This window comes from Homo sapiens, chromosome 10, assembly GCF_000001405.40.
Source record: "Homo sapiens chromosome 10, GRCh38.p14 Primary Assembly".
Taxonomy (NCBI): domain Eukaryota; kingdom Metazoa; phylum Chordata; class Mammalia; order Primates; family Hominidae; genus Homo; species Homo sapiens.
The window spans coordinates 4,016,976-4,030,652 of NC_000010.11; the positions used below are offsets into that span (position 1 = coordinate 4,016,976).

General features: G+C 41.8%; 1 long non-coding RNA gene across 11 annotated transcripts in view; it reads left to right on the forward strand.

Moving 5' to 3' along the window:
- Window positions 1-7,946: 7,946 nt before the first annotated feature.
- Window positions 7,947-13,677, forward strand: part of LOC107984195 (uncharacterized) — a 59,329-nt gene continuing 53,598 nt past the window's right edge. For 7 of the 11 annotated variants that reach the window (NR_176060.1, NR_176070.1, NR_176065.1 and 4 more), the window contains exon 1: window positions 7,947-8,381. This is a non-coding gene — a long non-coding RNA (uncharacterized LOC107984195). Of the gene's footprint in view, window positions 8,382-11,203; window positions 11,416-13,677 lie in introns of all 11 variants that reach the window. The other 4 variants (NR_176071.1, NR_176064.1, NR_176063.1 and 1 more) reach the window with 2 other exon arrangements.

Sequence of the window (13,677 nt, forward strand, 5' to 3'; positions counted from 1 at the left end):
ACTGAGCGTTCTTCTTCCGTGGCCACCAAGCTCGAACTGGGAAGGGCCGGTGTCCCTAGGACCCATGACTGGTATCCAACATTCATACCCCAGGTGAGTTACTGCTGATCATCATGAAGCAGGATTCATTTTGTGACCATAAAAATATTTTTAGGAATGTATGTCTATCCAACCTGATAAAATGCAATACAGATACAGAGGGACATTTGCTTTCTCCCGAACTCACTTATGCTGTCGGTCTGGCTGCTGAAGTCATCTGAGTTTATGGTGAAGACCCACAGTCTCTAAGGGAAAGAGCCAAATTCATTGCTCTGCTCCAGGAATTCCCCTCACTGCCAAGCCATAATGCCTGGGCTCACTTTGCCCTAAGCACACAGGTCTCCTTGTGGTCTTCAGGCCCTCCAAAAAGGTTCCACCTTCAGGGTCTTCTCCTGCGACGTGAGTGCCAATAATCCTATCTGGCAGGAAGCGTAACCTTCCCCTTTGCATCCAATAACAGAGCTGTCTATTTATGTGAACCTTGCTTTGTTATCCAAACCCTGATTATTTTCAGATCAACTCGTGGTAATTTTATTTCCACTTCACTCTCAGGAAACGTTACTGTTCAGAGCATTTCTACTCAAAGGCGTTCTCAGTAAACAACCTAGAATGTTTTGTTTGATTGTTTTGCGTTCATTTTTTAAATCTCGAGAATATCAGTCTTGTTCAGCAGCCTTGAAAATCACAGCCCCTTGAATAGTAGTTTATTTATGAGGTTAGAATGAAACTTTGACTCTCTGGCAATTTGATGGGATAGATGTCAAAAGCCTACTAGACTGTGAGATTCTCTATGTCAGGGCCTGGAATTTGATGCTTTTGCTGCCACCAAATAGATGAAAGGGGGATAGAATTATTCAGTAGGATTATTTGATTGAATGACCCCAACCTCATAGGGAGGATCTTCTTAGGAAGCAACTGCGCAGCAGAGGCTAAGAAACGGGGGGTTGACATCCTCAGAGCCCACACAGAAAGGGGTGAAAGCCTGCAGGGGGTGGCCTCATCCCTGGTGAATGGGTGGCCTCATCCCTGGTGAATGGGTGGCCTCATCCCTGGTGAATGGGTCGCCTGTTTGCTGGTCACATGGGACAGTGTCCACCACACCGGGGCTTCCTCAACACTGAACACCCTCAGGTCTACTAACTGCAAGGCTTGTGAATCACGAGAGCTTTGGGATTTTAAAACTTAGTCACAAGTCTCTTGATGTAAGCGATGTTTTCTATTATAATCTCAAGACACACATGAAGTGGTACACTAATAGAGAGAGTCACAAGACAGTCACATTTACTTGGTAAACCTCCAAAGATAGTTGGAAGGAAATCTGAAGATACAATGCAGAACAATGTTCCCTTTTTGCATTTGAGACTATTCATGTTATTGAAATACAGATCAAACAGTGATTTCAGAATTGTGATGATCTAGTCAAAATGCCAGGAGGTTGGACTGTGGAAACTGTGGTCTGTGGGTAATGAGATGACAGAAATGATTTTTAAATCTGCTGTTTTTTTTTTTTTTTATTCCCCAACAGCTAATTTGGTGATAGAACTCAATTGCATTTTCATTTATTTTTAGGTATGTGGGGAATTTTTACATTTTACGTATTTTTTTTGAAAAAAATATGCTTTTATATCAGTTGCTTTTTCATCAGTGGGGGAAATTTTGCCCCCCCCAGGAGGTATTTGGAAATGTTTAGTGATATTTTTGGTGTCAGAACTGGGAAAAGGATGCTTCTGGCATCACGCAGGTGGAGGCCAGGGATAGAGTATCTGACAGTGCACAGATAATCCCCCCCAAGGAGAAATCTCCTGGTTGCAAATGATGCCAGTAGTGCTGGCATTAAAAAATCCTGACATGCATGTGAGTGTGTGTGTGTGTATTACATGATGTGCATATATATATGTACAATATACATCTGTAACTAATGCATATACATACATATAGCATATATATGAAATCATGTATGTGATATTACATGTATTCATATGCATGTATATCTGTGTGTACAGTATACATATATAACTCATGTATATACATACATATGTATATTTGGAAGAGGGAGGGAGATTGGAAGCCCCGTTCTTCAACTGTCCATGGGTCCACAAGCAAGTGCTAAATTTTATTTCCTGAGAAATTAAAACATCCTAAGTTCCAAAATAGCGGGAATTAAGAATAGAAAAAATACAATGTGCACTTCAAATTTTTTTTTTGAGATGGAATTTTGGTCTTGTTGCCCAGTCTGGAGTGCAGTGGCGCGATCTCAGCTCGCTGCAACCTCCACCTCCCGGGTTCAAGGGATTCTCCTGCCTCAGCTTCCTGAGTAGCTGGGATTTCAATTTTTTTAAAAATTAATTCAACAAAAGCCCAGACAAGAGAACTTTAAAAAGTACGAGGCAAGGGCCCGCGATCGGAATCTCAGAACCCTCCCTGGCTGCTTCACCCACCACCTGTTCTGGGAACTCTCACCTTCTGAGCCTGGGATGCTTCCCTTTTAGAATGAGGCAAGTAATGAGCATCAAATTGAAAAAAAAGTGGGCAGTCACTTCCTAAACCCCAATGTACTTTAGAAAGAAAATATTCAAATAATCAGGGAGTGACGAAAGTTCAAGGAAAAGGGCTTAGGAGGGAATCAGAAGACTAATAATTTTACCGAAGAGTGAGAAAATTTGAGATTTTTTTTTCTATTTATTCATGTATTTATTTATTTTCTGAGACATGGCTCACTCTGTCACCCAGGCTGGAGTGCAGTAGTGCGATTAGGGCCCACCGCAGCCTTAACCTCTTGGCCTCAGGCGATCTTTCCATCTTGGCCTCCTGAGAAGCTGCAACTACAGGTATGTGCTACCATGCCTGATTAATTATTATTTTTTAAAATTTTTAGAGATGGCTGGTGTTGAACTCCTGGGCTTAAACAATTCTCCTGCCTCGGCCTCCCAACATGCTGGGATTACAGGCCTGATTTTTTTTTTTCTACAGTTGTTGCTGAAAGACTCTTGAACTCCCTTTTAATTTTTCAGAAACAGTTTCAAGAAAGAAAATTTATTTCTAGGAATAATCTTTTAAAACCTTTGCCTTTATTACTATGTTTGTTTCTGGTTCCTTTAATTTTGGCGGGACCATTTATCTGCCTGGAGCTGCCTTATTCTAGGGACCTGCAGTGGTGCTCCCCAACTTAGAACAGATGTTCCTTCATGAATTCGAAAGCAGGTAGGGGTGATCTCAGAATGGGTTTATGGGCCAGGCACAGTGGCTCACGCCTGTAATCCCAGCACTTTGGGAGGCCAAGGTGAGTGGATCACCTGAGGTCAGGATTTCGAGACCAGCCTGGCCAACATGGTAAAACCCCGTCTCTACTAAAAATACAAAAATTATCTGGGTGTGGTGGCGGGTGCCTGTAATCCCAGCTACTCGGGAAGTTGAGGCAGGAGAATCGCTTGAACCCAGAAGCAGGAGGTTGCAGTGAGCTGAGATGGTGCCACTGCACTCCACTCTGGAGTGCTCCATCTCAAAAACTCTGTCTCAAAAAAAGCAAAAACAAAAACAAAACAAAACAAAACAAAATGCGTTGTGATTGAAAAGTAAGGAAACTTGACAACAGTAATTTAATGTGCCAGTTTCCCTCCTTCCATCTCAAGAGAAAACATATCATCAAGAGTTACTATCACAAATGCTCGCAATCATTTATACTATCGCAAATCCTCACAATCATTTAAAAATAAAGTTGGAAATGGCATTCTAACACAATCCAGGCTTCCTCATTAGCACAGTCACTTGGTTTACCGCTGTGGTTGTATGCAGTCTGTGCACACCACGGGGCTCTGCACATATGCTCACACCAGAGCCTGTGCTCTGAGGTGCAACTTTCAGAGTAGAAACTCACATTGCCATAGTGCTTAAGCCCTCCCTTTTCTCCACATCCTCACCAACACCTGTTATTTTCTTTTCTTTTTTTTTTTAATAACAGCCATTCTGACTGGTGTCATACGACATCTCATTGTGGTTTTAGTTTGCATTTATCTGATAATTGGTGATGCTGAACATTTTTTCATATGCTTTTTGGTCATTTGTGTGTCTTCTCTTAAAAAACGTCCGTCCACGTCCATTGCCCACTTTTCAATGGGATTATTTTGTTGTTGTTGTTGAGTTGTTTGAGTTCCTTGTAAATTCTGGATATTAGTGCCCTATTAGATGCATAGAGTACAAGTATTGTCTCCCATTCTGCAGGTTGTCTGTTCACTCTGCTGATTATTTATTTTGCTGAACAGAAGTTTTTTATCTATTTTTGGTTTTGTTGCCTGTGCTTTTGAGGTCTTACTCATAAATTCTTTCCCTAGACCAATGTCCAAGAGAGTTTTCCCTAGCTTTTCTTCTAGTATTTTTATAGCTTGAAGTCTTACATATAAATCTTTAATCCATCCTGAGTCAATTTTCATAGAGGGAAAGTTTCAGGGACCAATTAAGTCATAGGATGGAACCGAGAAGACTGTCTGCAGAACCACTAAATGGGAGAGAAGGTGAAGAAAGCAATAGCCCAGAGTGAAACCAAACATAGAAGGAACTGATTGAAGGTGAGAAGAGAAAATGGAGCCCATATTGAAAGGGTAGTAGCTCAGGTGGTCTCAGCAGTGAGAGAGGATGAGAGATTTGAACTGGTGCCACTGAAGTTAGGATGACTGAGGCCAAGTCTGAGCACCAGAGTTTTAAATTTGTGTACCTGCGGATTTTTGCCAGATAAGGCCAGATTCCCAAAGGAAACAAGGTGCCTGGACATTGACTTGGTCTAACGTTCATTCTCCAATGACCTATTGGCGAACACCCAAAGGGTAAAGGAAGAAATGGGAAGATGATTTTTCTAACAGTGGACAATTAGAGACAAGTACACAGTCACAAACCTGAACATGTTGGCCATTTACATTTTTGCTATATCTTTAGATATTTACTTAACTTAAAATTGTTTCTGATGATCAGTCAGAAAGGGAATAAATAAAAGACAATCTTTACTTCCTCTAACTTGTCAATTCCTTGAATTTGTTATTATTCCATCTAGGCCTAGATAAATAATACCTGTAATCAGAATGTTTCCTTTGGGGTAATTTCAAAAATTCCATAAAAATAGAGCAATTGTAACACAGCTCAAAAACACTGAAAGTTTCTTAAATTGGCATCAGTATCCAAGTGTTTGACAAACTGAATTTTCTTCCTGCTTTGGACCGGAAAGTTGGGTGGTCTATGAAGACCCTGTCATTTTCCGTGAACGTTAGGAACAACCATTCAATTTTCTGCTTTCTCTTAAATGTGATTTGTGGCTGTCTCTTTACTATATACCTCAGTGAAATCAAATAACCCTAATTTAGATAAATATACTAGCCTAGACCATGATTTTCACTGGAACTGAAGATAGACTATTCTATATTATTATTTGAAGATGTGAAACGGCACATGTAAACAAAATGTGCATCCTAAGTGTTGCACAGTGAGAAACGACACTGTATTCACAGCAGAGGACATTCTGGTTTCCCGGTAAAAAGACTGCATTTTAAGGACTCGAGTCACACAGAGTCTGCTGCTTGCATAAATTTTTCAGTACCCAAATGGTGGTAAAAAAGGAATAATCTGGACATTTACAAGGTGGCTCTGGACATTTCTTATTTAACTAGATTTTCTTTTCTTACAGCCTAGGAATAGGAAAGTTAATTGCGTTCTAAACTGGGCTGTATTCCAGTGGGGTGAGAGGTCATGACTTCTCTAACATTTGTCATATAAACCACAGAAAAGGATACACTAGGCCAGGCGAGATGGCTCACGCCTGTAATCCCAGCCAGGAAAAGCAGATTATTTGAGACCAAGAGTTCGAGACCAGCCTGACCAATGTGGTGAAACCCTATCTCTACTAAAAATACAAAAGTTAGCCGAGCGTGGTGGCACATACCTGTAATCCCAGCTACTCGGGAGGCTGAGGCGGGAGAATCACTTGAACCCAGGAGGCGAAGGTTGCAGTGAGCCAAGATCTCACCACAGCACTCCAGTCCAGATGACAAAACGAGACTCTGTTTCCAAAAAAAAAAAAAAAAAAAAAAAAAGGAAAGCGTACCCTGAGATAGCTTTATTATTAGAGGATATAGTGGGAAATGGACTAATTTCTATAGGTTTGGAACAAATTAAAATAAGAGCACTTCTTTTGGCAGATAAAAGTAAGCCAAAGTTTCAGGTAATGATGATATAATATAAAAGCGCCTTCTAAAATGGAAAGTCTTTACCGGCAAGATAAAACATAAAGTGTTTTTTATTCGTTGAAATTGTTTTTCTCTATTATTGGACAATGAACAACCTGTGCTTTGGAGAATCTTTTGTTGGTAGATAGAGAAGACTAGTGCTCAGGAGGTTTTATTGGAGAGATCCAGGAAACCATTTCCTCTATATGACAATGTGCCCCTATCACAAATGCCTCAAAATCCACAGCTGGAAATATTCAAGCCAGCAAACAGCTAGTGAATGGCACAGCTGCACACTGAGGTAGGACTCTGCATGTCCTCTCTCAGCAGCCACCAAGACTAGAACGGACGCTCACTAGACAGCCCACAGGGGAGAGCTGCCATCTCAGCTGCAGAGCTCTCTCAGGACAACACACTGAGCTGCAGCTTCTAATGAGCAAATCGATGGCTTTCCTGACAAAACTGGACAGACGTCTTATGGGGGACGGTGAAGGGGTCCAGTGTCGTCGGCCACAAGAGATTGTTTCCACAGTCTCCTGCTTTATCCTAATATTTCTGCCAAACTTGCATTCTAACTAATAATATAACTTTTTAATTATTAAAAATGTATATATTCTCTAAAACCTCAAGTAAATTTGATTCTCAGAGATGAGATATATCTCTTTTTTTCCACAGTTACATTTCTTTTTTTAAAAGGAAACCCATTACCCCTTGATTTTCCAAAATTATCATGATGAAATCGAAATCTATAAATGTATAGGTGCTAAGTGAACGTGTATATGTACAATCTCCAAAGAAAAAAATAAAGTTCTTAAAGGACTGAAATAAGCAAAGCATGTTCTTAGTTTCCTGCCTGTTCCATTCTGAACCGAAAACCCCAGTCAACTTCTTTTCTTACGAATTTCGCTGAATCTGGCTTGAATGGACATTTCTCTTCTGAATGAAGACTTCGACGGTGGATGAGTCAGCATTTCATGTGACTAATTGAATGCCACTTAGCAGACACGGGGGTTCAGAATAACAATGTCTCGCAATCAGCGCGCTACTCCAAACTCAAAATCCATTTCGGAGAGCAAGTTGTACGCGCGCGACACTCAGCAGGCAGAGAAACCATCAGCCGCCATCACCACCGGCACATCGTCTGCTTCCTAATTACACCTTAATTAGATCAGGGATAATCACCTTGATTTCTATTATTATTGCTGAATCTTAGAATCATAATGTTAGAAGGAAATTTCATGCTCATCAATTTTAACATCCTTATTCAGAGAAGGTAAGAGAGACCAGGGAGTTTAAGTGACCTGTCCAAGTTAAGATTGCACAGATATTTATTAATACGACTTAAATTAATTAGATCCCTAAATAATGAATGTACTTAATTGGGAACCAGCATTTTGACTGTAGACTATCCACAAGCACCTATGTATTGGCCTGTGCAGAGGGAACACCAGCGATTTTCTGTTTTTCTGGCATGCTCCCATCATGCACCGTCTGGTCCCTCAAATTGCTATTTATGCGCTTCTTTCTATTTTAATCCTGCGCACTTCTATTGCAGGGTAGGCTCAGCGAACAGCCGTGCCTCTATTGCATGTTTTACTCTCGGAGTCTCTGTGCAGCGCCTTAACCCTGATGGAAACTTAAGAATCCTGCGTTCAATGAATAGTGAACTCTGTGGTTGTGACATCAGCTCTGGGTCCCAGTCTACATTCCGTGGCAGCCTGGCTCCAACATCCCAGGGAATTGTGTCACTCCCATTGAGCAGCTGTGGGGCCCTCTCCCACATGGCCCAGGTCCACCACTCTGTCAAAGGTCGCACAGCCCAGACAAAAACAGGACACAGCAGTGTGTGAATGAGCCGGGCTTTCTCCTTCCCTCCACGTAATAGAAGGTGCCTGAGGTTGTTGAAACACAGTCCATTTCTCCTGGGAATGACAAGAATTTGAGGGATGCTGACTTTCAAGGAATACTGCATGACAGGCATCAAGATAAACCTGATGAAGAAAACATAGGCCAGAATCTGGGAATCGGGAGCAAAGTAATACAGCTTCGGGGACAGGCACGTAATGAGGTCATGATGTAGGAGACTCCCTGCAGGACTGGCGGCCCCTGTTCCCTGGGTTGTTCTGGCTCTTTCAGGTGAGAGAGAAGGATACAGACAGGAAATGGCACTTCCTAGAAGGGCAACCCTCTGTTCCTGGGGTGTGTGGCATCTTCCAGCGTTGGGTCTGAGGTTCTAGGTAAGCCTTTACCTCAAAGACAGCCACATATTGCTTTCTCAGTGAGGCCTCCCACGAGGCTGAGAACTGCAATGATTTTTGCAAATATGTCAGTCATTTGGATGGTATTTTAACAGGCTGTTAGTGGAGGGTAGGTAAACCAATGTCTAAATGAAAAGGGAAACTCTTGCTGCTATTTTTAAAGAGATGTTTCCTGAACAGATTCTGCCCGGCTTGCCCAGGAGGGCTAGCCTGGATCCACGCTCCTCAACCTGCTCCTCCTCAGTAAAAATGTTGAGAGAGGTGTATTTTTTTTATGATTGGCCATATGGCTCTATTAAGTTCAGAATCAAAGATATATTTTTTGACTTATCCATAAGAAGCATAAGAAATTTAAATAGGGGCCAGGCGCGTTGGCTCACGCCTGTAATCCCAGCACTTTGGGAGGCCGAGGCGGGCGGATCACGAGGTCAGGAGATCGAGACCATCCTGGCTAACACGGTGAAACGCCATCTCTACTAAAAATATAAAAAATTAGCCAGGTGTGGTGGCGAGCGCCTGTGGTCCCAGCTATTTGGGAGGCTGAGGCAGGAGGAGAATGGTGTGAACCCGGGAAGCGGAGCTTGCAGTGAGCCGAGATCAGGCCACTGCACTCCAGCCTGGGTGACAGAGCGAGACTCCGTCTCAAAAAAATAAAATAAAATAAAATAAAATAAAATAAAATAAAATAAAATAAAATAAAATAAGAAATTTAAATAATACTTAGGTGTTTTAGGTTAAGACTCTGTCCATTTTGCATAAAAAAGGTTCACCTGAGTGTTTTATTGTAGGTAAAATCTTTTTTTTCAGTAGCAAAATATTTAACGGGGTGGGACAATATTATCATGGATTTCTTTTGTTTAATCTGAAAACATAGTTTCACCCTTGCTACCATGATACTTCAGTCCATGCTAGATAGTTAGAAATGGCCAGTGCAGAAACATCTTCTCAGGATGCCTTTGGCTTGAGATCTCTCCAGTGAGTCAGTTTTCATGCTGATCATTTTCAACTTTCTCTTTCTCATCTAATTAGTTTTACTCAAACATTAATATCAATCCTAGCCACTAGACAAACACAATTTGGTACAATGTAGACCTTGATGATTGAAAATATATTAATTTCTCAAATGTTGAGCTCTCCTTGGTTATTAGGATTCAATTCATTAAGCTGGCAGCCACCTCCATAGGCTTTCTGAATGGACTAGCCACGAGATAACATGTGCGTCCTGAGGTAGGAGATGGGGAGACATTGGGGTAGTTACAGAAAAGAGGTCAGCTACCTTCAACAGATGCATCCAGACTTTCAACAGCAAGTTAACTCACTCTGGGACATACCAAGAGCCTTTGAGGGGCTGCAGAAGTAAACTCAGATACAGGAACACCGAGTGGGATAGGTGGGAATGAATGGCTATGGCAGTGCATTTATGGCTTCAGTGCAGGGACGCAAACACAGGAAGAGCCCCCATGGCCCTCGCTGGGAAAGACGGGCTCACTCGTTGCACGTGAGCACTGCAGACCAACAGCATCACAGAAAGGAGGCTCTCCTGCCGTACTTGTGACTCATGTCTTAAAGATACCCCAAGAGAATTGAACAAAGCTCTATCGTGAGATCCTTCTGAGGAGAGAATAAAAAGGAAATATGTATTTTACTTTTGTACATGGAATTTCCTTTTAATTAAAATCCTTGGTGATTTTAAAATATCAGGTTCCTAGGAGGGTGGCTGTGCGTGACTCGGCTCACGCTGCTGCCGTGGGCTCCTGGGCGCTGGAAGAGCACTCTCAGGTGAAACATCTGAGAGCCGAAGGTTCCAATCCCAATCATTTTTTGTTTTGTGCAGCCCATGGCTCTGCCTTTAGTCCTTGTTCACGTCTCAAAATGGATAATGAGTGGCTTTCCTCTTCATTCATTTATAGCAAAGATGTAATAAATTATTGAAATCGGGGGAACTGTACCACTTCATTTGCACTCCCCAGGGGCAGGTGCTAGGTGCTGAAAGTACACAAGCATTTTCTTATTGTATTCACATGAAGCATTTGTCATTCTCTGTAAGTACACATTGGAGGAGACATTGCTGCTAATTCCGTATTGAAGTGGGTAATACCACCAATGACCAAGTAACCTCGGCAAAGCAGAGACAGCTAGAGCGGGAAGAGTCTTCTCTTCTTGGAAGGAATTTGCAAGGAAGACAGGTCCAAAATGAAGATGAGGAAACGGCCTGCATTTCTGAGGGGTTTATTTGCTTTTTTTTTTTTTGTTTTAAATCATTGCTGGTTCTACAGGTTTCCCTGTTGGAATTGCCCTTTGGGACTCTCAGGTCTGGATAGTTCTCTGAGGCTGATGAGCCTGCTGGGTGGTGGCAGCCTGGTGCCCCTGGTGCAGGCAGCCAAAGAACTGGAATCTGACTCAGGGGCAGAGAAATGGGTTAGTGGGTGAACCCAACATCTCTGCTCACTGTTGGTCCTTGAAGCTTTTCTTCATCTCATCATGGGGACCTCAACAAGGAAGGTGCCCAAGGCAAGGATGGTGGTGGGGGACCTGAGTGCCATCCCCACTTCTGGATCCAGTGTTCAAACACCCACAGTGGTGACATCATCTCTGCATCTGTACAGTGCACAGGGTGTGTGGTTAGAGCAGGAGTTGGAAGGAACGGGGAGGGAACAGTCATAGCTTCCAGTCCCATCTGCTTCTTGTCTCTATGCCCAGAACCTGACCCTGGAACAGGACTGAGCAGGTGCCTGTGTGCACAGAAGACCTTGTGTGAGTCCTTTGGTACCACGTTTGCTGCACGAATGTCTGAGACACCTCACAGTCGCTTGGTTCAGCCTCTCCCTCCTCTCTCCGCTGGGGAACATCATCCCTCATCACTGGAAGAAATTACAAGGATTGTGTAAACAATTACAAGTATTCTACAAACAGTGAGCATGCTGGTTTGGCCCATCTATTTGTAAGAAAAAACATGGGGTTTTATGGCAATGAGTTACAGCTCTGAACTCCTGGCACAATCACAAATATCCTCAGCACAAAACACCAAGTGTATGTCTCCCTTCTGTCCTAAAAGGGTAGTGTGTGCAACTCATTGATGGGGCTCCCATTTCATTTTTGAAAGATCTGCTCACTGATAATACCAGTGAGATTGTTTTCACCAAGATCTATGACATACAAATAAACTGTTGCTTCAAAAGCATCTAGCGGCCAATTGCTGATCATCCAAGTGACAAAAAGCTAACTACTTCATTCCTAATTATTACTGCACACTGCTCACAAGCATCTCTCAATCCGTTACCAATTTTATCCTTGACTCCTGATGAAACACAAATCTCTTTGATCAGGTTATCACATGGCATAGGTGCAATGGTGGTTGCTTCAGGGGAAATAATTTAATTCAAGTACTTTGCAGTTTGCTAGGTGCCCTGGGGCATAGTATTCTTTGGGCCTCCTAAGGTTCTGATGGTGATGAACTGATTTAACGTATAGAATAGTTTTTAAATGTGAAGTGCTACAGGGACCACTATGCAGGGAGCTGAAGGGCTATTGAGCTGGACACTTGAGCATTGGCTGCATTGAATGATAAATATTGCACAATATTTCTCTTCCTCAAAATAGAAAATGACAATGGAAAACTTTTAATAATGTCAACATTGGTGACTAGAAATACATATGTGCCTCCTTATGAAAGCAGGGGTGGTGACTGAATAGAATTGTTTTGTTTTTAGAGAACGATGTTTTTCTTTTTGTTTTTTCTTCTTTTATAGTATTTTACTTAAAAATCCAAGTAATAGTATTCTACTGTATTGCCTTGAAGAAGTAAATTGAGAAAAGTCAGAACACTTATGTATTTTTATTTAAAAACGAACGTTTTAGTCAGCACCCAATGCAACAAAAGCAAACTAGAAATTGCATGTCAGCAATAAAATAACCAGGTTCTTAGAAGGGCGGCCTAAGTCAGCTCTACAGATTCTCACCTTTGCTGATTTAGCCGCATGGAACCTAATTAATGGGTAGATTATACATTTGCTCAACAAGTATTAATGGAGGTACTTGAATGAACTGACAGGGCCCAGCCTTATGCAGTGGTCCTCAAAGGCTTGTTCATATCTTGATTTGGACATCAAAAGAGAAGGCCGTCGCAGGAAATCGGAGACCTTGAGCCTTTACATGTCCACCTCAGAGACTAGACGTAACTGCCTGCTAGAAATAGTGGCGTGAGGAATGCGAAAGGGAGAAGTTGTTTGAAGGATCTCAGACTCCATGCCGTGTACTTTGAAGATGAGCTTTAGAAATTGCACATCAATAGTTACTGCAGAAGGAGCAATAGGAACTGAGAACATCTCACGCGGCTTAGTGCGACCGATAAACACCAGCTGAAGCTTGTGTCCTGCACAATAAACCTTATTTGCTGATCTCTGAAGGTGCAAAGCAGGGCACTACTGCTCAGCAGCCTCTGATGACGGTGAGGAAGGCAGAATGGCGTTGGTGACATCTGCGTCCAGTAGGCCAGGCTCCAGAGATTCATGGTCCCAAGTGCAGATCCAAGTCCAGACGCTTGTAGGAAGCCTGCTCCCCGCTGCTGGGAAATCCCAAACTTAATTTTGCAGGCCTCCGAGATTTAGATAAGCGTTTGTTTATTTCAAGTAGCATCCTCAAGTCTGTACTCTGATCGGCACTACAAATATTTTACCAGACAATGATATGCTGTGTTTAAGTTGCATGTAAACACTGTGGAATCCATATTTATTTTAGTTTATTTCTTCCATTTGTTGATAGAGTGATGCAATAGGAAGATTCCTTCTTAAGAGGAAAAAATATTTTTGAATTAATTTTTATAACTTTAAATTAAGTCCACTTTAATAGAAACAATACCTTATTTAAAACCGTAAGTTATTCTTTGTAAAAATATTCTTCTCTTCATTTTCAAGCAATTGATATTACACACGAGGAGATCTCAAGTTAAACTTTTATTCCAAGAAATGAACTGAAGGGTTATTTAGTTTATTTTAGTTATTTGCTGTTACGTACTATGTGCCTCTGTTTCTAAATCATGATTGCTGCCTACAGATAGAAATATTTATTATAAACTAAGCAATAAGCTGCACAATTTGACCCATTTTGATTTTATGTATCTATTGGAAATGAATGGGATATACTGCCTAATTTGGAGGAAAGCTTGCTGATTAAAT